Raw genomic sequence first — 26,063 nt, 5'->3', positions numbered from 1 at the left:
CTCTGCAAATTAACTTATCCTGTTGACTTCACAGTACATCATCAACACAATTAATCACTGCTTTTAGAAGAAAAAAATTTAATTACTTAAACATCAATCCATGGATTTAGTAAAATGGTGAATCCAATACATTTATCTTAACAAACAAAATAATTTGATGTGCTCTAGTTATTTATTATAGTTGATCAAATGTGTTTCATCTACCATGATGTGATTGGATGATTGTCAGTAACCTCCAAGAACCCCTAGTATCTCTCTTCTAACTTGTTGTGGAGACTATAGGGTATCTAATAAAGCATCTGTGACTGCATTTCCTCTGTTTAGGATATTCCCCTTGCTCTCTATTCACTCTCTCTTCCTGGAACTTTCTCATGCTGGCTTGATTTCTCTTCTTTATAACTTGTTTTCACATAACTGAAATTCTCAATCTCAATATAGCTGCTTGTGTAGAGTAATCAAGTACACTTGGCCTTCCATTTTAATACTACTTACATGATGCAAGTAAGCTACTCAAGTAACAGGCACAGTCAATAAAACAAAATTACCATAATTTTAAGACACAAGAATGACACATTAAAGACTGGTTTCATTATGAGACTTGTCAGAGAAGTCACAGAAGTTGAGGACCATTTATACTACCTTTTAAAATATCTAGTCTGAAAGACATCAATTTACACATAAGAAAACCAAAGCTCAGGGAACTGGAAATGACCTGCCCCAGTTCATGTAGTTAGTTATTTTTAAAGCTGGAAACAGAAGCGTGGTCTGATCCCTATTCAAAAGCTCTCTCCACTATCACAAATATTTTAGGTTAATTTCTCCTCTATTCTCTTTTGTCCTATTTACCTGCCTTGGAAACCAAACAAATATTCTTTTTTCATTGTTTCTTGACTTCTCATCTTCTCCAACTACTGCCCTATTTATCTGTTACTCTTGACAGAAAAGAAATGGTACAGCAAATTGGCTGTACTAGCCCTCTTATTTTCCTCATTTCCGGTTCTCTCTTCAATCTACTCTAATTTATCTTCATTCTACCCCATCTCTATCCCCAAGTTTCATATTAGTGTCACCAATTACCTCCACATTGCCAAATTCATTGTCACTTCTCTCTTCACATTTTACTGAACTGTCAGCAGTATTCAATATGAAAGACTGTTGTCTTTTGGATTCCTTGAATCAACAAACTGATTTTCCTTCTCCCCTTACAGAATGTCATTTCTCATTTTTTTTCTTGTTTTCTTTTTGCCTTAACTGATCTCTATATGTTAAAGTGTAATTCAACCAGTTGCCAAAATTTCAAAAAGAAGCTATGAAAAGCACTGATTTGAAAATCTGACAAAGATATTACAAAAAATATTAAATTACAGTCAAATGGACCTCATGAACATAGAAGAAAACATTCTTAACAAAATATTAGGAAATAAAATACAACAGCACATGAAATGGATAACACCAAATAGAGCTTACCTCTAGAATGTAAGTTTGGTTTAATATTAAAAATTTAATGTGATTCATCATACTAATAGAATGAAGGAGAAAAGACATATGATCATCTTGACCGAAAAAGTTATTTTACAAAATTCACATCCATTTATTGATGAAAGCTCTTAGCACTCTTGGAATAGAAGGGTTTTCCTTGTTCTGATAAAAGTCACCTACAGCCCAGGTGCAGTGGCTCACGCCTGTAATCCCAGCACTTTGAGAGGTGGATCACGAGGCCAGGAGATCGAGACCGTCTTGGCCAATGTGGTGAAACCCTGTCTCTACTAAAATACAAAAAATTCCCCAGGTGTGGTGGTGCATGCCTGTAGTCTCAGCTACTCAGCAGGCTGAGGCAGGGGAATTGCTTGAACCCGGGAGGCAGAGATTGAAGTGAACTGAGACAGCACCACTGCACTCCAGCCTGGTGACAGAGTGAGACTCTGTCTAAAAAAAACACAAAGTCATCTGTGAAGAACAAGTAACCAGTAGTTAACATCATTCCTAATGGTGAAATACTGAATGCTTTCTCCCAAAACCGCAAGCAAGGCAAGGACGTCCACTTTCACTACTTCTATCAACATTTTATCAGAACTCTTAGCCAGTGCCATAACAAAAGACAAGGAAATAAAATACATATATATAAAAATGAAGTAAATATGTCTTTATTCAGATGACATGATTGTCAAGGTAGAAAAGTATAATAGACCTTCAAAAGAAACAGGTAGAGCTAATATGTGAATTTAGCAATGTCTCAAGATACAAGCTCAATATATAAGAATCAATTGCACTTCTCATATTTAACTGCATAAAAAAGAAAAATGAAAAATAAATTCAAATTTTAATAAAGCAAAAAAGCATAACATAGGAATAAGTTTAACAAAACCATGTAGGATTTCTACATCAAAAATTGAAAGAAAAATTAGAGAAATGGATTGAGAGATATACCATGTATATTTATTAGAATATATACCACTGCTAATATGCTAATTCTCCTCCAAATAATTTATAGATTCAATGCTATCTCAATAACAATGCTACCAGGATTTTTAAAAAGATATTAATAGGCTGATCTAACATTCTTATGGAAATGCACAAGAGCTAGAATATCAAAAACGATCTTGAAGAAGAACAAATTTTGGGGACCTAACCAGGCTTTAAGATTTGCTATTGAGATACAGTAATCAAGAAAGCATGGTACTAGCAAGAGTAGGTCAATGGAAGAGATTAAGAAGTCCAGAATTAGACTCATACTGATATAATTGTGTTTGATTTTCTACAGTCACCAATGCCATATAGTAGGGAAAAGAAAATATTTTCAACAAAATGTGCTATAAAAACTGGATATCTATACAGAAAATAAAATAAACCTTGATCTGCACCTCACAACAATAACTTGAGATAAATCTTAGACCTAAACATAAAGGCTAAAAGAATGAAGATTCTAGGAGACAGCACAATAGAATGTCCTTAGGACTTTGAGACTAGGCAAAAGTTTCCTAGAAAGGACACAGAAAATTGTAACCATAAAAGAGATCATGGCAATTTGGTATTATCAAAATTAAATGTTTCTGCTCATCAAAAGACACTATTAGTAAAATTAATAGGCAAACCATAGATCTGCATAAAATATTCACAAAACATACATCTGACAAAGGACTGATATTCAGTATATATAAAGAAATCAGGTTATTCAATAATAAAACTACAACCCCATGTTAAAATAGGTAGTTAAATGGATACTTTGCAAAGAAAATTATATAGATGACCAATAAATACATGAAAAAACACTCAACATTAGAATCATCAGGGAAATGCAAATTAAAATCACAATGAGATATGCCAAACACCTACCAGAATGGCTAAAATTAAAATTATTGACAACACCAAGTGTTGACAAGGATATAAAACAACTGGAAATCTCATACATTGTTGATTGAAAGGTAACATGGTGTTATTACCTTGTAAGTGTCTGGCAATTTTCTAACAACAGATACCTATCCCATGACTCAGGAATTCTGCTTCTACCAAAGAGAAATAAAAACATGTCCAGGAAACAATTATATGAGAACGTTCATATCAAGTTTATTCATAATAGGTAAAAGTGGAAACAGCTAAATTAATCCATCAACAACCAAATGGCTAAACAAACCCAAGTATAGTCACATATGTAATACTGCTTAACACAGAAAAGGAAAAATCACTCGAACCACTCGTATACATGACATGGGTGAATCTCAAAAATGTAGTAAAATTTAGTAAGAAATGCCTACCACAAAAGAGCATGTACAGTTTGACTACACTTATATAAAGTTCTAGAACATGCAAAACTAATCTATGTGGCAAAGAATTTAGAATATTGGTAGCCTTGGGAGAGAGGTGTGGGGATTTGCTGGGAAAGCACATGAGAAAACTTTCTAGATGATGGTAATGTTTTATATCTTGGTTAGAGTTAGGGCAGTGGTTATCAATTTTGCCCACCCCCTCCTTCCACCCAGGTTATTTTTGGTAAAGTGTAGAGACAATTTAGAGGCCAGGAATGCTGCTAAACATTCTACGTTGCCCAAAGATAGCCCTTCACAACAAAGAATTATTTAAGGTTCAGAACAGTGTTGAGGTTTTAAAACCCTGAGTTAGGGTTACATATTTGCATGCATTTCTCAAAACTCTTTAAGTTGAGTGTTTTTTGTTTTTGTTTTTGCATTTAACTCTATGAAAAGTTTCCTATAGAAAACAAAGAACCAAAACAAATCACTGATTGTAGTTAATAATATGCATACTGTAGTGGGGAAATGGGGGTAACGTGGTCTTTCACTCCAAGAGCATCAAAAGATAACATGGATTGATGCATGGATAGTGGGATGGATAAATGAATAGCTATTTGATAAAATATATATAGTAAAATTTTAATTGTATAGTCAACATGATGAGTATATAAGTATTCATTATTCAATTCTCTCTTTTCTGTAAGTTTGAAAATTTTCATAATAAGATGTCATCCTTGATTTCTTCTTTTAACTCACCCATCCATATTACCTCCATCAGTATGTCCTGCCTGCCTACACTATCATCAAAATATATTTTTAACCAGTTCCATTTTATCTATTTCTATTCAGTCTAAACTACCAACAACCCTCTCAACAAGGCAATAGCAGTATCCTGCTAACTAGTCTGTCTCTCTCTGCTGCCTCTCATGCTTCTTTATAATGCATGCTTCACCCCAAAGCCAGAGCAACCTTCTTAAAACAGAGCTGATATATAACACTCCCTGATTCAAATCTTCTGAACTAACAGTTTGCTGTCCTACTGCCTTACCATGCCCTGCGAGGTCCTGGATCCAACACTTGCCTTCTTCTTGAACTCTTCTCTCTGTCACCTACTATGTCACAATTATCTAGATCATCTAATCAACTTGTGTTGATTCGACGTATCACACTTTTTCCCACGTCATGCATTTACTCTACCTGTTTCCACTGCATGTGATACCTTTTTCCTGGCTCTTGACATGGAAAACTCTTTTTCAGGTTACAGTTAACATACTACTTCTTCTTTTTCCATCTACAATATATGCCTCCCTATCAATCCCTTTCCCATTGCCTGTTTTACTTCCTTTGTAACAGCTACTTGAATTTATCTTATTTGTGTGTTCCAGTTAGATTTTAAAGTTCCGGAAGGCAGGGACCTTATCTGTCATTACAATATCACCAGGCCCAGAGTAGTGTCTGACATGTTAAGTACAAAATAAATGTTTGCTTAATGAATGAATGGATGATATGTTTAGAAACTTGATAGAGTGACAGATATTTTCGTTTGTTCAGTGTCCTAGAAACAACCACATGCTGGAGAATGGAATTCCATAAGGTACTCTCTTAGATAAAGGAAGTGCCAGGTAAGAGACTTACAGAAGAATATGAAACAGATGATCGATCATAGAGCTTGTTCCTCAGGCATACATGCCTCTGGGCTCAGCACACTATTTTGATTTTCCATTGACTTGGCTCAGAAATAGAGGGTTAGTTAAATGAATTATGGAATGTCTTTCTGAAGATGGAATCTTTGCACATAGTAAAAATCATGTTGTAGAGAAATATTTACTGACACAAACAAAAGTTCATGATATATTGTCAACTGAAAAAAGTGGGCTTCAGGAAAATGTGCTCAATATTATCTCCAGACCACTAAGCACCTTGAACCACCTCTTACCTTTCTTAACAACACTCTTCCAAGATTGTTAAGAGATTATTTTCCTTTCCTGAGATCTTTGAGGGCAGGTACCTTTGGTAACTCTTGAAATCAGAGGAACTTGGTGTTTTTGTAAGTCCTAAATATAGAAAGGCCTTGAAGCTGTAACTCTTAGGATATTTACATAATGTTAAGTGCCAATAAGGTACTAAGGAGATGATGAAACTAATCAAGGCATTTATGTTGTGTTGTATTGTATTCTATGCTATGAAGGAGTTTAATTCTAGCTGGTTTCCAGAATGGACTCCTGTGATATAATGAGGGAGCTTGAGTGCTCCACTCTGAAAGCAATGTGGATGGAGTCGTCTGCTATCTGAGTGTTCCTAAGTTTTTCACCCTTACCTTTAATAGGTAAATTATAGTAACACGAGAGTCCCTCCTGTGTGACTGCAATAATCCATTCTGTGTTCATCTCTCTCTGAGGTTCCCTGGAGGAATACTATATCAGTTTCCTGAGGCTGCCATAACAAAGTACTGAACTGTGTGTGGCTTAAAGCAAAAGGCATATTTATTGTCTTACAGTTCTGGAGGCCACAAATCCAAAATCAAGACGTTGGGCAGATTGGCCTTTTCTGAGGGCTATGAGGGAGAATCTTTTCCATGCCTCTCACGTAGCTTCTGACAGTCTCAGGTGTTCATTGATTTGTACATGTCATTCTCCCTGTATCCTCACATTGTGTTCCTTCGGTGAATGTCTGTCACTGGGTCCAAATTTCCCTTTTTTATAGGAACATGACTCGCATTGTATTAAGGTTCAATATGAGGTCCTAATTGTATTAGGACTTAATTCTAACTTATTCATCTGCAAAGACACTATTTTGGAATAGGGTTGCATTCATAGTTAGTATGGATTAAGATTTCAACTTTCTTTTTTGGGGGCAACACACTTCAACCCATAACAAATGCCATTCTGGGTGTGGCTGTGCTCTGCTCATGCCAGCCCTCTGTCTGGCTTCATCCCAGTTGTCTCCACATCACAGCTTCTTCATGCGGTGGCAGCTCACTCCTATCTGTCAGTGAAAGGCTGTCATTTAACAGAATCTTAATAAAGATGCGAGGGTGATATAAGTAAAATATATGACAGAGAAAGGAAACTTGAAACTGGATATTAGATACATCAGCTCTTCAAGCCTGGTGTCCACAACCTCTTACTGGGTTCTGGCCATCTCTATCTTATCCTTTGGTCCACTGCCAGATTGTAGGATCTTATCAACTTTCTTATGGTGGTTTTCTACATTTCAGTTATTTTTTCACCCCAGTCTGGGGCTTCCACCAGAGAAAACACAAAATAAATAAATATTAAAATAAACATCTCAGAAATATACTTTTTCACAGTTAAAACACTGTGATATTATTTAAGAGATGGCTTAAAAACAAATCTGCAGCATCTTCATTTGGCTACAGGCCTTTCTAGTTAAGAGTGGGTAGGTATTTGCCTTAGAGCTGCTTGACTAAAAACTATCACCAAAATGATCTTGCCCAGAACAAAGAGAGGGCATTCTATATCAACCTATTTTAAGCAGAAATCATCACAGTGTTTCGTAAAAGCATCATCATTTTTTCTTTCTATAACTGTGTCATGGAGTGGGTAGGGTCTCCTAGAGGAATTTGGATGAGATCTGCACATTAAAATATTTTGTTTATTATATGAAGCGGTAATTTTTTTAAAAAATACATCCTTATAAACAGTGTGTAGGCATATAAGTTACTAGAAAAAGAATTGTTCAACCAAGGGATATGGGGTACAGGGCACCGAAGCATGGGCTACAGTGCACACTTTGCCCCACCAATATATGACTGTGCTCCACATTAAGTCCACCTTGTCACTGACACTTCAAGATAGTGGCAGATTAATATCTCTTAATGAGCACATGAATGAGAGTAGAAGGGTCACTCTACTGGGCTAAGGGAGTAAGAGAAGCCATTGCAAAGATCCAATATTTGAACAAGGTCATGAGGCTGAGATTTACAAATTTGTGCCCTTGGGCTGGATATAGCCAACAACATGTTGATCCAACCTTCTCAGGAGATTTCACAGAGCAATACAGATGACTTCTCTAAAAATTGGAAAGCTCTGTTAACACATTAAACCTGCTTACTTGAAAGCAACAATAGTCTAGATCTCTGTCCCTTTAGAAAGGATATGGAATCTTCAGTTCTCTGAAGTCCCCACCAATCCCTTTTGTGTTCTCAGCATGCAGGTGCAATTAGTTACTCCTTGTCATTCATTAATCTTGATCTGATTTCTTTTTAAAATAGATAAATATTTCTTTGTCCCTTGGTTCTACCAGAGGTGGAAATGTAAAAGATAGGCTCGGATAGTAATATGATTTTTCTTATAAAATCAGTTTTACTTAATCATATTGTTACCTGTCAGAACCCAATAAAAATTTCATTTTTTAAAGTCTCTGTTATTAAAAAAAAGACTTAGTAGGGCTTATTAGGCAGAGAAGGGCAATGGGGTGGATTAGCAGAAAATGTATTCCAGTCAGAAGAAACTAAATAAGCATAGTCCCAGAGTTATAAAAATGTAAATGAAGTCCCAGAAGCTGTGACTATTCCTTGTCATGTCCAGGAATTCTGCCAAAACTAGGATGTTGACCTTTTAACTGGGGTGGTGGAGAGGGATGAAAGGGTGGGGTTAGAGATAGTGCCCGAGCGTAGGAAGACTGTAAGGTGGCCTGAATGACCTGCTGAGCAGTTGGGGATCTGTGAGATTCCTAGTAATAGAATTGATGAAACTAGGTGATCAATTGTATGATGGTTGTTCAGAAAGAGAATGGACAAATGAGTATGGGCTTTTTGTAGTACTTCATGACATAGCATATATTGAGGATTGAGAACTGAAACAAAACTTTGTCAGTTCAGTGTAGGCCAAACAAATTTTTCATGCCATGCAGGTCACCACAGCAGCCACGTGACATGTGAAGTGTGGTAACAATTTGGAAGGGAAAGTTAATTAGATTGGTTTTATTTTGTTTATTCGCTGGTTTTCTGGGGACCTCTTTGCGGTAAAGGAGATACTAGATGTAGCTTTCTAGCATTTTCTTTCTTGGCCCAAATGAGTGTCAACATAATGCCAATTAACATGAAATGTGTCAACATGGACACAGCATGTTTTAAAGCTTAGCTGGCTCCTGACCTGGGGTAATGCTGACTTCCATTTAGCTTTAGGAACCTTCTGCTTTTTAGCATGTCCTGGTTAGATATCAACATCTTTAGACCGGTTTTAGACTACTGGGAACAATAGAACTGATTCCTAATGCAAAATCAACGTCTTTGAGCACTGACTAAAAAAAAAAAAAATGTTAATACTTTAGTAGCCATTTCATTCATTTAGCACTTTGGATTTGGTGACTTTTTAAAAATAATTTTATTTCACTTTCATCTCAAGCAAGGCTGTGATATAGAAAGGAGGTTAGAATTATTATCTGTATTCTGTATTTTATATGTAGAAAAGTTGAGGTAAAAAAGATGAAGTACTTTGCCCAAAACTATAGTAATTGACAAATCTAACCCAAAATGCAGGCTTTATGGATTCTGATCCATTAGACTTCACCTGTTCAATATTTAGTATATTCTATCCCTTAAGACACTACGTTTTTAAAGAGGCAATTTTTGTAAAAGAATTTTAGCATTATATCAGTAAAGATTTTTTTAGTGTCAAATAACAGAAAATATAACTCAAAGCTGCTTTAATAAAATGGGAATTTTCTTGACATACATTTCTAGGGTAATCTGGGATTCAGTTGTGGCTTCATCCAGGAATCCAGGATGCTTCATTTTTCTTTATCCCTGGCTTTTTTTTTTTTTTTTTGAGATAGAGTCTTGCTCTGTCACCCAGGCTGGAGTGCAGTGGCACCATCTTGGCTCACTGCAACCTCTGCCTCCTGGATTCAAGTGATTCTTCTGCCTCAGTCTCCCAAGTAGCTGGGAATACAGGCATCCACCACCACACCCGGCTAATTTTTATATTTTTAGTAGAGACAGGGTTTCACTGTGTTGGCCAGGCTGGTATCAAACTCCTGACCTCAAGTGTTTTGCCCATCTCGGCCTCCCAAAGTGCTGGGATTACAGGGTGTGAGCCATTACACCTGGTCCTGGCTTGTCTTTCTATTGTGTTGACTTTATTTTCAAGTTTCCCAAAGTAGGTAGGTATCTGGCAGTAACTCTGACCCTTCAATGTTGCCGTGTTTGGGTCCAGTGGACCTGAGAGAACAAATCTTCCTGGCAGCTCCTGAATAAGCCCTAGGATTCATCCTGATTGGACCAGCTTGGGCCATGTGCCTGTCTCAGAACCAGTCACTGACCAGTCCCTGTGATGTGCTGATGTACTAAACTGAGTAACAGGCTTCACCTCTGGAAGTAGGAATGGAACCACACATGCACTCAAAGTGAGTGTAGGGTAGTTCTCCAAAAAAAGTCGAAGGTGATAGTTCCAGAGAAGACAGGAAATAGACGCTGGGTGGCCAAAGCAACAAATGTCTTCCACAAGGAGCCACCCAAATCCCTGGGTTTGTTCTCTAGTTGATTGAGGAAATGAAACATTTTATTGAAAACTAAGGCCCTTGTCTACCACATAGCAGTCATCATCACACTGTGTCACTATAATGCAGGGAGACACACAGCTAGATTGTGGGGAACGTAAAGTTAGCTTCATTGCACCATAGTGCCCCATTCTGAATCCAAGTTTTCTAAACTAAGGCCACTGAGTAAATTGGACTTGGGTGGTAGTTTCTGTGCTGGCTTTCAATTAGCTTCTAGTTTAGTCCTAACTTTCAGCCTTTCTCTCTCTCCAGCTTTATGCTTGTCACACTTCACCTGTATCCACAGATTTCCTACCTACCTGGTGCTCTTATATTCCTGTGGTTTTCTAGGGGCTCCATCTTCTCCATGGTTTGCTCTTCCTATTTTTGGATCCCTGATGAGATCATTCCTAATTATTCTTCATGACTCTGTTTGTTACCTGCTCTGTGAGCTTTTCTGATCCTAACCCTTCAGGCTGAAACGGTGTTCTCACAAGACCCTATACATTTTTTAAATAATGTACTTATTATATTGCATTGTACCACGTTTTCTAAAATTTATTTTTAACTGACAAATGGTAATTATATATATTTATAAGGTATAATGTGATGTTTTGATCTATGTAGAGAATTTGGAAAATTTAATCAAGTTAATTAAAATATCTATAACCTCACCAACTTATCGTAGTAATTCTTGACTTCCTTATCTATCTTCTTCCACCTGAGCTCCTTTATGGCCACAACTTGATCTAGTTGCCTTGTAACTAGTAACCATCCCAAGATTGACTCACAGTAGGTTCTTATATATTTACTAAATTTGTGATAGACAAATGAAAATGTGAGCAAATCATCTGAATAATAATTAAAGGGCATCAACTTCACTCATAGGCCTGTATCATTTACTACCCTTTCTAATATCAAAGTACAGAGACAGAGGAAATGCTCTGAGGACACTCACCCAAAGCCAGCATAGGAAAAAGCAGCAGATATCAATCATTGAGGATTGACTTCCCAGGATCAGACCTGTGGGAGACAATACTTTGCAGAGAACTTGCCACTTGCCATCTTTTCAATGTCAGTAAGAGCTGAAGAAATAGGATTGGAAGACTCACAGATCTGTGGCTCAATTAATGATCGTGGCTGCTCATTATGGTGAAAAACCTGTGCCTATGCTGTGTCAGAAGCTACCTACATCAGAGTGTTTTTATTAACTACCTCCTTTTTTTGGATAAGACTGCCAAGAGATGTGGTGTTGTCATCTAACAGGAGATCACTAGTGAAGGCAGCTGCTACCTAGCAAGCCATTTTCAGAATGTTGTGACCAACTTGTAGTATCTCAGAATCACAGGATGAGCAGAATGTATATAGCTGGAAGTCAAGCACCAAAAATAATTGCACAGTGCTGGAAAAAAAAATGGCCTATGAGAAAAAGTTAGAGTAATTAGCTTATTTCACTTGGAGAAGAAAAATATGGGGAAATGTATTACATTAACAAGCTTCAATTCCACAACGGGTAACTCTAGAGGGTGGGGAATTTAAAGTTGTAGATGTTGAAGGATTTTTCTTCCTGTCCTCTCTCCACTTCCTGCTTTATTTCTCCTCTGCAATATGTTGATGAAAGGTAATAATGTGGTGATTTCAGAAAATGTATGAGAATAAATATTTTGGACATTTGCAGCATTATTGCATTGTCTTGCAACTATTTCCTTCACTTTCCCCTCCCAAAAGAAAAAAAAAAACAAAACAGAAAGGAGTAACTATACCATCTGCAAAAGCCCTTTTCTCTTTTATAGCCATCCTGTTGCCATCTGCTAAAATCCTCAGCCCACCTGCATAGTGAACAGCATTCATTGTTTTCCAGAAATGTGCAAGAACCACAGTCTCCCCCAAGACTGAAGGTAGGAGGAAGGGGACATTTTACAGCAGCTTCAAGTGAGCTTTGCACCCTGCAACTTACCTGGATTGCTTTGTTAATCTACTGTGTGCTCAACCAAGTTTATTGTCTGAGCAGGGGATGGTTCTTGGATAAAACAGAATCTTAGTGTTTGTTTCTTTTGAAATTTCTGAAGCCTGCAGAGACTCAGAGGTGCTGTTCCTAATGTTGAGAAGAGTTTAGAGGTTACTGTTGGAATAACAGTAAGGACTTTTCATTTCTTTTTTTTTTTTTTTTTGCCATAAAGAATCTTCTTTGCTTCCAATTAGAGAATGTTTTTCAGCCAAATTTTGGCATATTCTTTGAAATAATGGCTGAAGTTTAGTTTTCCTTGATGATATTAAGCAAGTGCTTGTGATGTTCTGAAAGGGAATTGGCTAACATTTCTCAATGCTATTGTCATTTTGTGCAGGAAAATTCTTCCTTTTGGAAAACTGTGACGTATGTTGCAGGAATGTTTTCCTTCCCTGGCGACCATTCTTTCAATGCCATTGGTGTTTCCTACCATTGTAGCAACTCCAAGGCCCTCATATATTTCCAAACAGCCCCAAGAGGGCTATTTCACCTACTGTTGAGAACTATTGAGCCTGTCTCTTTTCTTCACCTTTTTCTATTCAGGAAGAGAGAAGAGGTCTAGCTACTGCTTCCTGCTAGGGTGAAAAGATTCTGGTTTGTGTAGCTCCAAACTATGTAATCAGGGCCATAAAATACCAGGAAGGGCCTAAGAGTATGAAAAATTGAGAGGGCATCTGTACAGGCACTTCTTCAGGTTAGCATTTCTCTCTCTCTGTCATCCATCCATCCATACTATGGTTCTTAAGTCTGAAACTAAAGTTTATAACAATTTAAGTGAAGCAGAAAGCAGTTCAGAGGAAAAAGAAAGTTTAATTTAAACAACCAGTTATCATTAACCAGTTTGAAATACTAATAGTTATTGTTTGCAATTGACCTATGTGTACATATTTTCCTGACAAGTTCATTTGGCAATTATATTATTGGACGTCAGTTGACAATGCCTATGACTAGTTTAGGGTGCCATTTTCATTATGTATTTATATATCAGTTATTCAGTCATTCATTTACCTTTTGTGGGTATCATCCTGTGTTAATAACAATCCACTATTCAAGTGGGATTGTTTTTAAATCAGCCTTATACATCAGCATATTCTACGCATAGATTCATCAGATTCAGCCTGCCTCTCTCAACTAGTTTATCACTTTCCTTATGAGAAAGAGCTTATGCTGACTTCTATTTCCCCTTCCTGAAACAACATTGCCTTCATAAAAAGGAAAATAATGACTTGGTACAGCAGGCCATTTCAAGGCTGCATCTACATAGGAGATGGGTTTTGTCATTCAATCGCTGATTGCTAGGCAATCAGTCATACAGCACAGACTTAAGCTAGTTCAGTTGGCTTAGCACCTAGAATAATTGCTTATTTGGTAACTCATCTATTGTGTGGCAATCAGCAAACATGGATTGACCATCATAGTGATCAACCTAATGAACCATATTGTTTCCTTTCCATCCAGAGCTGTTCATTTGTGATTAACAGTTGTGATTTCGTGATTCAAAGCTATTTGTAATCAATAACTATAAACTCATTTGGCTATATGCTTATATACTGTGTACTGTGTTGAATAGTGAGCATACAAAGATAAAGGGAGCAGGTGCTGTGGAAAGACAAGTTTAGGAGTCAGAGAGATAAGGCTTAAAATCACACCAGCTCTGTGGACAAGCCATTTAACCTCTTTGAGCTGCAGTTGATGGACTGCTGTTAGAATTAACTGCACAGCATATACTGCGCGGGCCCAAGAGTATGCATAATTGTCATATCCATTATTATAAATGAGATGTAGCCTTCCGTCCTTGATGAGATTTAATTATTCATTGTAATTATGTAATAAAATAAATTCTAGGTACACAGCATGTCTTATCATAATTTTAAATTCTTAAAAAAATCTAAATTTCAGAATTTAGCATATATATTCTATGTGAGCTACTGCATATCCACATTTTTGTATCTAGACTTTTTCCTTGATATATGAAGATAAATTATAAGTGCCAAGCAGACCAAACATGACCCTGCCACAGCTCTATTCAGAACATTATCTCACAATTGTTCCAAATACTGGGGGACTGAGTCATCTAATGTAGCTTACAGGAAAACAAGCTATGTGTTACTGTAGGCGACCTTAATGATGTGGAGTTATTTAAGAATCCGGTGTTGACCACTTCCAGTTGAAAGTGCATGAGCAAATTAGGAAGACAATATAATTACATATACTAAAATTAGGTTAACGTAGACACTCTAATGGCTCAGTATGACCACAGACCCGGGCTTCAATATCAGAGTGCTGTCCCTCTATGTATGTACAATATCAGGAAGCACAGTATCAGAGTGCTGTCCCTCTATGTATGTATACATAATTTTACACACATACATATATTCAAGGTGTACCTCACAAGTAAAACTTCATGGTAGATTTTATAAGGGTCTGATGTAGAATGGTGATTATTTGGTTATACGGTTCCTTTCTACCATGAAAGGGAAAAACCATCTCTTGAAGTCAGGAACACATCTTATTATGTAATGTTTTGCAACAAACCATCTTAATGACTTATAAAAACAACGATATCTATTCAGCTTGAAATTCTTCAGCTTGAGTAGGGCTTAGTAGGGATAGCTTGCTTATTGCCCACTCCAGCTTCGCTGTGGTAGCTCAAGGATTTGTGCTGGAATCATCTAAAGCTAGAGTGGATCTCAAGTGGGTATGATTTTTGTCTCATCTCCAGGGAATATTTGGCAATGTCTGGAATAACTTTTGGTTGTCACAATTTGGGGGAAGGGTGCTACTGACATCTGGTAAGTAAAGGCCAGGGATACTGCTAAACATCTTATAATGCACAGTGACCACCCCACTCCATCACCACACACCCTCTCCCCCACCCAAAGAATTGTCCCTCCCAGAATGTCAATCAGGCCAAGGTAGAGAAGCCCTGATATAAAGGCTTATTCACTTAGCTATCTGGTGGTTGCATCTATCCATTCATGGATATCCATATCCATGAAGAGAGCTTCAGCTCCTCTTCATATGGACCTCTCTAATGTGGCCTCTCCACTGTCCATGTGAACAGGCTTTCTCACAGCATGGCAGCTGGCTTCCAAGTGCGGGAATGTCCTGATTGAGAGAGCCAGACAGAAGCTGAATTCCTTATGTAATTTAGCCTCAGAAGTCACATAGCATGTTTTATAGAGTAGCCGCAAACTCTTGCTCATATGTGCACGTGTGTGGGGGGTGGGCACATTGACACTGCCACTCCATGGAAAGAGTGTCAATAAACCATGTTATAAAAGGCAGGCCGGGTGCAGTGGCTCATACCTGTAAGCCCAGCACTTTGGGAGGGCAAGGTGGGAGGACTGCTTGAGACCAAGAGTTCAAGACCAGCCTGGGCAACATGACAAGACCTCATCTCTACAGAAAGAAAAAGAAGAGACAGGCTTGATGGTGTGCACTTGTAGTCCTAGCTGCTCAGGAGACTGAGGCAGAAGGATTGCTTGAGCCCAGGGGTTGGAAGCTGCAGTGAACCATGATCATACCACTGCATTCCAGCCTGGGTGACAGACCAAGATTCTGTCACAAAAATCAAAAAAATGAAAGAGCAGAAAATAAAATTTACCAGAGGGACCATGTCTCATTCTTCTTTGTATTTCAGTACCTCAGCAATCAATGAAAGGTAACAGATGCTCAAGCTGTGCATTTTTTATTGTATTATATTAAGTAAACTTAATATATGAAATACATGATAAACAATGAGGAGATTTGGCATTACATATAACAATTTTCCACAGAGTACCTTTAAATAGTGACTTGCTCCACTTCATTATAAAGTATGATTTAATTATGAAAATTTTAATGGCATATTTATTCATCTGGTTGTTCATTAATTCAGTATTCACTGAGCACACACTGTAGGCAAAAAAGTTTGCTAGGTGCTGGAATACCAAAGATGGATCCGACATACAATTGTCTTCAAGTTTCTCACAGTCTAGTGGGGAAGGTAAGCAACATATATAAATCATTTTAATTCAGGGCAGACCTCATTAGAGGTACAAATAAAGTGTTCTGGTGCTATAAGAAAACATGTAGCTTTTTTTTTTTTAATGGAAAGTGAAGATTTTATTAAGGTTGTTCACTCTAATGAATACTAAATCTTTTTACTTCCTCACTCCACACTTCTATAATTGTGAGAGGAAATTGGCAGAATTTCATCCAATTTTATAATATTCGATACAAGCAGTCACCTAAAACACAACGGAGAGCCATCTGCTGTGCAGCTGTTAAGTTTGTCTGTCTCAGTCACAGTCATTTATTGCTATGGGAAGGCATATCTCTTCACAAGAATATGGTGAATCTCCTTGATGCAATCCTAGGACATTCCAGTCTGGGTGATAGAGAAAAGTAGAAAAGTCACAGACATCCATAGGCTGCCTCAGGAAAATGGACCTGTTTTATAACTTAGTAGCAGTACTGCTTACATACCTTATGGAATTACGAGGATCCTCAAGGTTATTCCTGAAAGTCTGTGTGAATTGGTGCCTCTCAAACTTCAAATTCCAAAAGGTAGAATTTTGGCCTCATGTTAAATTCACTAGTTCTTGAAATTGTTAATCAGGTTTATCCCATCTAAAACATTCATATACTTAAAATACCATTCTAAAATATATGTGGTATTTGGAGGAACAATTAATGGTATTTCAGAGAATGCTTATGACATTTTATTAGATTCTACATTTATAATTCAGAGAGAAGAGGAAGTTTCAGAGCAAGGAGACCAATTAGGAAGCTGTTATGTAATCGAGGAAAGAGAGAGTGATCTGGCTTAGAGTAATAGCAGAAAGAATCATAATAGCTAATATTTATTGATTATTTGCCATGTGACAGGGGCTATGTATGGCTTCATGAGAATCGTCTGTATTTATAGACACAACAATCATTTGAGATAGGTACTATTATTTTCCCGTTTTACAGGTAAAGAAATTGAGGCTTACTAAGCAGTAACCAGTAAAACTGGAATTTAAGTCTACCTGAGCCTTTTTCTTCAGTCCATGGTTTTAGTCACTATGCATATTGTATGTGATATAAGGAAAAAGGTGAATAGACCCAAGGAGGAAGAATCAAGATGATTTAGTAATAGGATTGGGTTTAGGGAAAAAAGAAGAGTGAGGCCTCCAGGATAACACTCAGGTCATAGCTTGGATTTGGCCAGCTGGATGGATGCATGTGCAGTTCTCCTGAGTTGGAAACACAAGAACACTGAGATTGGCTACTGACAAGCATAGTTTTGGATGTTCATAAAAATGAGGTTCCTGAGGGACATCTATATGTAGATGATGGCAGGCAATTGGATTTGTGGCTTGAAATTCAGGGAATAGATTAGTATAGAAGATAGATGTTTGAAAGTCATCGGCTTTGATATGAAACACTGGAAGTGAAGGCAAAAGTCCAGTAAGAATGTGAAGCCTGGGAAGAGAAGGTTGTTCATTACAAAGTGTAATGAATATAATATAGCCAAAAGTTGCTCATAATCTAGATATGGAGACAAACAAAGATATGTGAAACAGCTTGAGAATAATTACCAGACAGAATGCAAAGGAGGGCAGCATGCCTTTCAGAATTAGAAAAGACAGAACAGAATTGGAATAGGGTTCATCTGGAAGGCTTCCTGGAGCTTGGATTTGAGCTGAGTTTCCATGAGCATGCAATAATGTGGAGGAGAAATTGGGGAATAAATGGGGGCAGAGGCCTGTGGTGGGGGCAAAGGAACCACTCCGTATGCCTCTGCCCTTCACTTTTTGTGCATGGGAGGAGACATCTACCTCACTTGCAGCTCGGGCTGTAAGGCTGTTGTCTTTGCATCTCCTGCGGAGATTGGAGTCCATGGGACATTCAGTGGGGAAGAGAATATGGGTATAAAGTAGAGAGAACAAAGACAAGTTGAGACCCATAAACAGCATGTGGTTCTCACCGCCTCTGACCTTGAGTATCCACAGGAAAAGATGGTGCCTTTTGTTATGGAGCTGAATGTCTGCCTGGCCCAGGGGTCAGAGAAGGTAAAGGAGAGTTCAGAGTATTGTAGAACAGCAGCACAGCCAGCTGCTGCTCCACACCCAGGACGTGAGTCAGCAGGTAAATGACACCATGTGTGAGCCACGAAATAAATGGCTGCTGCAGCACTTCCGCTCTCCCAATCTTGTACTACAAGCTCTCATGGCCCAATCTATCCAGAAACCTACAGGTCAGGAAATTCTGGGAAATGTAGTTAATCCTACCCAAGTGGACACATTACAGGCTTCCAAACCATGAATAAAGACAACCAGGTGTAAATGAACAAACAAGATTTGAAGAAATCCAGCAGTTTGGTTTAGCTCAGAGCTTCTCAAACATTCATGTGTACCAGAAATACCTGGATGTTAAAACATGGAATTTCTGATTGAGTAGGTCTAGAGTGTCACCCACCCAAGCCTAGGCATTTCTAACAAGTTCCCAAGTGATGCTTATACTTTTGGTCTGGAGACTGCACTTTGAGAATCACTGAAACACAGAGGCCTCATTAAGTTTTAGTGAGAAGTAGGAATGGAGAAGAAAATATTGCAAAGGAATAGTTAAGAAAAGCTACTGAATACTAGACAACTTCTGAGTGAAATCTGATGTGACAGGATGTCATTATAAGTGACTAAAGAGGAGGTTGACAGGCAAAGACGGTGTTTGCAGCAGGATGTGCTGTTTCTGTGTGGGAGAGGCTGTCTTGAGTGCAGCTTGGAAGTGAGGAAATAAATTGCAAGATAGTTTACCATAATCTAGTGATACAGATCCAGAACAGGGAGGTAAGTGAATGTGGAAACAGAGAGAAAGGATACAATGAAAAAACTACTTTGGATATAGCTTCAAATTTCCTCATCCGTACTTTCCCCAATTAGTACAGACTCATGTCTCTTCTCTTTATATCATCAGAGACAGCCTTTAAATTTTGTCTTTTATAATTTTTTATATTATCTTACCAACACCAGTGCATTGCAGGACATTTGGAAATCAGAAAAATATAAAGAGTAAAATAAAAATTTTCCCTAAGCCATATAATCATTACCAAATTTAAGGTTTAATTCTCTTCATTCTTTTCTCTTCTGCATGTGTGAATTCATACATTTTATTTTATTAATACTTGAACCTGGCAGACTTTCCTCTTAGCCACACTGGGTTTGATCTTAACCGGACAACTAGGAGGATATGTTACTAGAGTCCAGCTGAGGTCGCTGGATGGCCCTCAGTGTTTCCATCACTTTCATCTCCCTTGGATGAGCACCACCTTCCCTTTTAAGAAAATTCACTGGAGTAACATCAATGTTGGGCTGCCAGCAGCTTGCTATGGGTTCAGATTGATGTTTCCTCAGACATCAAGTGAGGGATGAAGGTGATTAGATCAAGTGGCTAAGATAAACTTCTAGAAAGGTGAGATATCACCAGTGGAGCCAAGTCCTCAAACATAGAGGACATAAGGGACCTCCATCCCCATAAAGTCCATAGCCACTTCTATTCAAGTAGCAGTGAGCTATTTTTACATCTGTTTCCCAGATAGAGTGTGAAGACAGGAGTCAAGTTTTCAAAACAAATAACTCAACTTGAATTATTTTTACATAAAAATAAATTTAAAATATAATGCTGAAAATCTGACATTTCTAACTTGAACTTTCTTTGTCAAAAACCTCTGTTTTTCAATTTCAACTTTTAAATCGATCGCCTATTTTATTCTCTTTCTTAAATCATGTGTCCAAGGCAAATTTTATTTCACTTTGCGTTTTTGTTTGGTTTGCATTTGCTTTGATTCAGGCTCTATAATTATTACTGATTTGTAGAATTTTCTATCAGTCCTCCTATCAAGGGTTGGACCATTTTTCTTATAGGCAACCCAAGATCTCTGATCTCCGAATCAGTTCATGAAACTGGACATGAAACACATGTATATACTCAGAGTAGACAACAACCACTTAGTGAGATATTAAACCAAACAGAGGATTTTGTTCTCAGTGATTTGTCTTCATGTCAAGGCATATCTTGTAATGTGTGTGTGTGTTGTGTGTGTATGATACCAAGAGAAAAAGCCATCCTTTTTTGGCAGTGAGGTTTCAGAACAGGAAAAGGAGTTCCCAAAGAGAGATTTCAGAACAGGAAAAGGAGTAAACACTTGATAGGAGGCAATGAAAAGGCGAGAGGGTGGTAAGGTAATAGGAGCAGTGAGTATAGAAAATTCATTTGAAAAGCTGGAAATGTGACAGAGGAGGAGGGCAGAGAAAGAGAGAGAGAGAGAGAGAGAAAGAGAGAGAAAATTAGGAGAGAAAAGGGAGAGAGAGAGAGACAGACACAACCAGAAAGAAGAGAGACAGAAAAGTAGGAGAGGAGGGAAAGAGAGTTAGATGTAGAGAGAGAAAGAAAGAAAAGAGAAAAGGAGGTGGACATTAGGCTGAGATATTTTCAAGACTGGAGAAGCTTGTGTGTGTGTGTGTGGTTAAAGGGCAAGACACAATAAGGAGTAAAATATGAATGGTGGGTAATTTAGGGATCCAAGTCCCAGGGGAAACACTGGAGCGCCCAGGCAGAAATATGAGGCATAGAAGGGAAACTCTTTGCCATATACAGAAAGAAAACAAACCAGCATTAATTAAATACTTACTACATGCCACGCCCTTTGCCTATCTCTCTCATTTAAAATGCTAACTCCTGAATAAGCATTACCCTGATTTTGCAAGTCAGGAAACCAGACTCAGATTAAGTCAGTCATGCATGCCCACATAGCCAATGGGTGGCAAAGCTGGTATTAGAATTCAGCCTTGTCTGATTCAAAATGGAAGCTCTTTTCCCTATGCCAGTCTATCCTTTAAAACTATATCCAATGCAGGACAAAGAGAGATGGGTATCTCTGCCAGGACAGAGAGAAAGGGTTTGTCATGTAGTGGGATCACCATTTCAGGAGAAGCTGAGGAAGCCCCTGGGAGTGGTTACGGGTACAGCACTTCAACAGATAAGCTGCTATGGGGAGTTGGCCAGCCCCTGGAGTGGGTGAATTAGTCCAACTCTAGCAATGGTTCTCATGCTACTCTTCGGTATTAACAGGGAAACAAATGGAGTAGGTGAGGACGGTGACACAAGCAGAGGGACATGTCCAAAGGTAGGTGTCCAGGTGTTAAAGGAAGCAGAGCCTGAGGTTGAAGCTGAGCACTGGTTCTGGTGAGTGAGAAAAGACAAAGGCTGAGTGATAGAACTTTCTGATGAAAGGAGAGAGCAAGTTCAGGAGGCGTGAGGACAGTTGACCAGGCCTTTCATGATTTAGCGGCTTGTCTGTCTCACCTCACCTCCTACCACCTATCTTTCGGGGTTGAGCCTCTGGCCAGAACAGACATCTTTTGGCAGTTTTTCCAAAGAACAACATTCTCTATGTTCCATTCCTTTACATGTTCTATTTCCTCTACCTGGAATGCTTCCCCTGCCCCTCCTGCTTCTTTCTTTGGCTTTTTTCTGTTAAATCTTTAGGTTTCAGGTTAGGCAAAAGTTCATCCAACACTTTTAAAGACACCCTTGGACTGGGGTGAGTGCTTTCTGTTGCATGTTGGTCTTTCTTCATCATGCATTTATCATTGTACTGCAATTGTTCAGTGAGTTGTCTATCTTGCTGCTCTAGATAGAAAGTGTCATGAAGACAAAGGCCATGTCAATTGTTGTTTCCTTTGGCACTGGGTAGTTGGTGTAGTTCCTGGTACATGTTACGGGTACCATAAACATTTATTGAAGGAGTGAATGGGTAAATTACATAATACATTACTTAAAAATGTATTTTATTCTGCCTCTTATTTTTCTCTTAATAAAATTGTTGCTCTTGGTATTGTTTAATGTGGGGAAAAGAAAGAGAGATCAGACTGTTACTGTGTCTATGTAGAAAGAAGTAGACATAAGAAACTCCATTTTGTTCTGTACTAAGAGAAATTCCTGTGCCTTGAGATGCTGTTAATCTGTAACCCTAGCCCCAACTCTGTGCTTGCAGAGACATGTGCTGTGTTGACTCAAGGCTTAATGGATTTAGGGCTGTGCAGGATGTGCTTTGTTAAAAATGTGTTTGAAGGCAGTATGCTTGGTAAAAGTCATCGCCATTCTCTAATCTCAAGTACCCAGGGACGCAATGCACTGCGGAAGGCCGCAGGGACCTCTGCCCAAGAAAGCCTGGGTATTGTCCAAGGTTTCTCCCCATGTGATAGCCTGAGATATGGCCTCGTGGGAAGGGAAAGACCTGACTGTCCCCCAGCCCAACACCCGTAAAGGGTCTGTGCTGAGGAGGATTAGTGAAAGAGGAAGGCCTCTTTGCAGTTGAGATAAGAGGAAGGCATCTGTCTCCTGCTCGTCCCTGGGAATGGAATGTCTAGGTGTAAAACCCGATCATATGTTCTATTTACTGAGATAGGAGAAAACCGCCTTATGGCTGGAGGTGAGACATGCTGGCGGCAATACTGCTCTTTAATGCACCGAGATGTTTGTGTAAAGTCAAACATAAATCTGGCCTAGGTGCACATCAAGGCACAGCACCTTTCCTTAAACTTATTTATGACACAGAGATCTTTGCTCACATGTTTTCCTGCTGACCCTCTCCCCACCATTGCCCTATAGTCCTGCCACATTCCCCTCCCCGAGATGGTAGAGATAGTGATCAATAAATACGGAGGGAACTCAGAGACCAGCGCCGGCACAGGTCCTCAGTATGCTGAGCGCCGGTCCCCTGGGCCCATTGTTCTTTGTCTGTACTTTGTCTCTGTGTCTTATTTCTTTTCTCAGTCTCTCATCCCACCTGACGAGAAACACCCACAGGTGTGAAGGGGCTGGCCCCCTTCAGTTTAATCTCTAAATTTTTCCTATGGAAAAGTACTTAGTTAGCATCTCCATGAAGGATACTCTCAGCATTACATCACCATTTGGCATCTTCTCAGATGTTTTATACGTTTTCACTTGGGCAATGTGAACTCACATGTCCGAAATAGAGCTCATCTTATTCTAAAAACTTCTTCCTCCCCTGACTTTCCTATTCATATTGGCGGTAACACTACTCAACTGGTTACCTAGTCATACCCATCTCCTGCCTCCCCATTGCCTGACCACTAATCTTTATTCTTTATAAGGTTTTCCTAGTGGTTCCCATTACTATTGTCAGGACCTTATTATTACACACTTAGATTGTATGTGCAAGTCTACTATTTTAACAAATGGTGATAGGGCAACTGGATATCCACATGCAAAAGCAGAAAGTTGTATCCCTACCTTACACCACGTATGTAACAAAGTTAACTCTAAAAGGATTGTAGACCGAAATGTAAGAGCTAAAATTATAAAACTCCTAGAAGAAAGGTAAGCATAGATGCTTGAGACAGACAGTAAAAGCAAAAGAAACAGAAGAAAAAATAGTTAAAATTTTACTTTTCACCTCAAGAAAGTAAAAATACAATCCACAGAATGAGAGTAAATATTTGCAAATCAGATACCTGATAAGGGACTTACATCTAGAATACATAACTAAGTTGTAAATAACTCTTACAATTCAGTAATAAAAAGACAACACAAGGATCTGAATAGACATTTCTCCAAGGAAGATGTACAGAGGGACAATAAGCACATGAATGGATACTCAACATTATTAGTCATTAGGGAAATGCAATGAGATACCACTTCACACCTACCTGCGAAGATGGCTATATTCAGAAAAGCAGACAATTGCAAGTGTTTTCAAGGATGTGGAGAAATTAAAACCCTCATACTTTGCTGGTAGAAATGCAATATGGTGTAGCTACTTTGGAACACAGTTTCACCATTCCTCAAAATGCTAAAGAAAGCTATCATATGACCAAGCAATATCCTATGTATATACTCAAAAGAAATAAAAACATATGTCCATATGAAAACTTGTGCAAAAATGTTCATGGCAGCATTATTTATAGTTGTCTAAAAGTGGAATCAACTTAAAATGTCAATCAACTGATGAATAGATAAATAAATTGTGGTATATGCATGTTATGGGTTATTATTAGCAAAGAAAAAAAATAAAATATTGATACATGCTACAACATAGATGACTCTCAGAAACATTATGCTAAGTGAAAGAAGCCAGTCATAAAAGACTATATGTCATGTGATTCCATTTATATGAAATGTCCAGAATATGCAAATTTATAGAGACATTAAGTCTCTTGATTATTGGTTGCAAGGGCTGATGAGGTAGGGAAAAATGAGATTGGCTGCTAATGAGTACAAGATTTCTTTTAGGGAGAAACAAAAATATTCTAAATTTAGGTTGTGATGATGGTTGCGCAATATCTGAATATACTAACAATCATCAAATTGTAGACTTTAAGTTGGTGAATTTTATGTTCTGTGAATTATATTGAATAAAGCTGTTTTTTAAAAAGTCTCCTAAGTCATTCTCTTTATCTTTTTCACTTCAAATTAATCCAGTTCACTGCCACAAGTTAGTCCATTATTTTGCTCATTCACATTTTTGCTCAATACCCGTCATTGCTGTCTATTGACTCTAAAGTCCAAATTTCTTCACTTAGCATTCTAGGCCTCTCACATTCCAATCTCAGTGTACCTTTTTGACACCCGAGACTGCCTTTCTATATAAACGCTGCTTCAGCGAGGTTGGCTTACTCTCTGTCTCTGTCCCTCTGTACATACTAGTACCCTTAACTATAATGCTCCGTTTTTCTTTTTTTAATCTAAATCTTACTCTTCTATCAAGTTCTGTCCCTTTGGTGACAATTTCCTTGGCTTGTGCAGTTCTCAGCAATTTCTCTCTCCCGTGATTCAGCACTACTCGTTTTGCACTTAACATTATACCTCTGTGATGAGTAGGGAGGAAACTTATATTCTAAATTATTTAGTAACAAAGGTGAGAGAATCAACATACACTTATTCAGAACCCTTCCCAGAAATAATCCATTTTATGTTTTCATTTGGAGATAATTTGCTAACAACTTTAAGGTGCCAGGAAGTGACAATCCTAAAGTATAATGTATTTAAGCGTAATTTAAAACAGACTGCATTCTTGAAAACTGAACAATATCATACAATAATATTCTAATTGACAAGAGCACTTATGACTGATAATAGATACCGGAAAAGATGAGTTAGAAAGAAAAACCTGGTAGTCTAATTTCTGGGCAGTCTAACCCTGATCTTTTATTCTTTATACAAAATTCTGTTAGTATGGAGAAAGAAATAGCCTTGGCTATGAAGACTGCAGCAATTCAATAAGAACATTTACATCTTTTCTAATAATATCTTAGTCTGAGGAAATGCCTCAAAAATCATAATTTCTGGGCAAGGCATGACAAGAAAATTGTCTTCAATAGGCAAGAAATACAATCATAATATTAACAATAATGATTAACATTTAATTCTTATTATCCAGGTTTGTATTTGCATGCATTTTCTCATGTAATCCTCAAAATAAACCTCTGAGCTATGAACATACTATTATTATTATTTTATTTAACTTGACTACGTTAGTTCAGATTAGGTTTGAATGCAATAGAAGAAAACCTTGAAATAACAAGTAATTTGGAATCTTATTTCTGTATCATGTAACTATGCAGAGATGTTAGTCCAGGGTTTGGACGGCAGAGTGTGGCTCTGTTCCAAGTCCACAAAGACCAAGATTCTTACCAGTTCACCATTCTGACATCTACTGGGTGTGACCATTAGCCTCATTGTTTCTGGAGGGATCTGTGTTTTAGGCAACAGCGTTAAGGAAAGGATGAGTAACAAGGGGCAAAGAGTACACCTGGAAG

At 38.0% G+C, this 26,063-nt stretch overlaps 1 long non-coding RNA gene across 1 annotated transcript in view, besides 1 other annotated feature; it reads left to right on the top strand.

Annotated features, from left to right (window-relative positions):
- Positions 1-26,063, top strand: part of LOC105374060 (uncharacterized) — a 302,423-nt gene that overhangs the window by 247,869 nt on the left and 28,491 nt on the right. Inside the window, exon 3 of the long non-coding RNA NR_135547.1 lies at positions 12,041-12,145. This is a non-coding gene — a long non-coding RNA (uncharacterized LOC105374060). The remainder of the gene's footprint in view (positions 1-12,040; positions 12,146-26,063) is intronic.
- Positions 22,686-22,886: a silencer, noted in NCBI's record as "peak4778 fragment used in MPRA reporter construct". NCBI's record gives its function as "represses an SCP1 promoter by STARR-seq MPRAs in K562 erythroleukemia cells {active_cell/tissue: K562}" and the evidence as "EXISTENCE:reporter gene assay evidence [ECO:0000049][PMID:32103011]".

The sequence above is a fragment of the Homo sapiens genome, chromosome 3, assembly GCF_000001405.40.
Source record: "Homo sapiens chromosome 3, GRCh38.p14 Primary Assembly".
In the NCBI taxonomy this organism is placed as follows: Eukaryota; Metazoa; Chordata; class Mammalia; order Primates; family Hominidae; genus Homo; species Homo sapiens.
The sequence above is the reverse complement of the archived record's forward strand: the minus strand, read 5'-3'. Positions and strand labels throughout refer to the sequence as shown.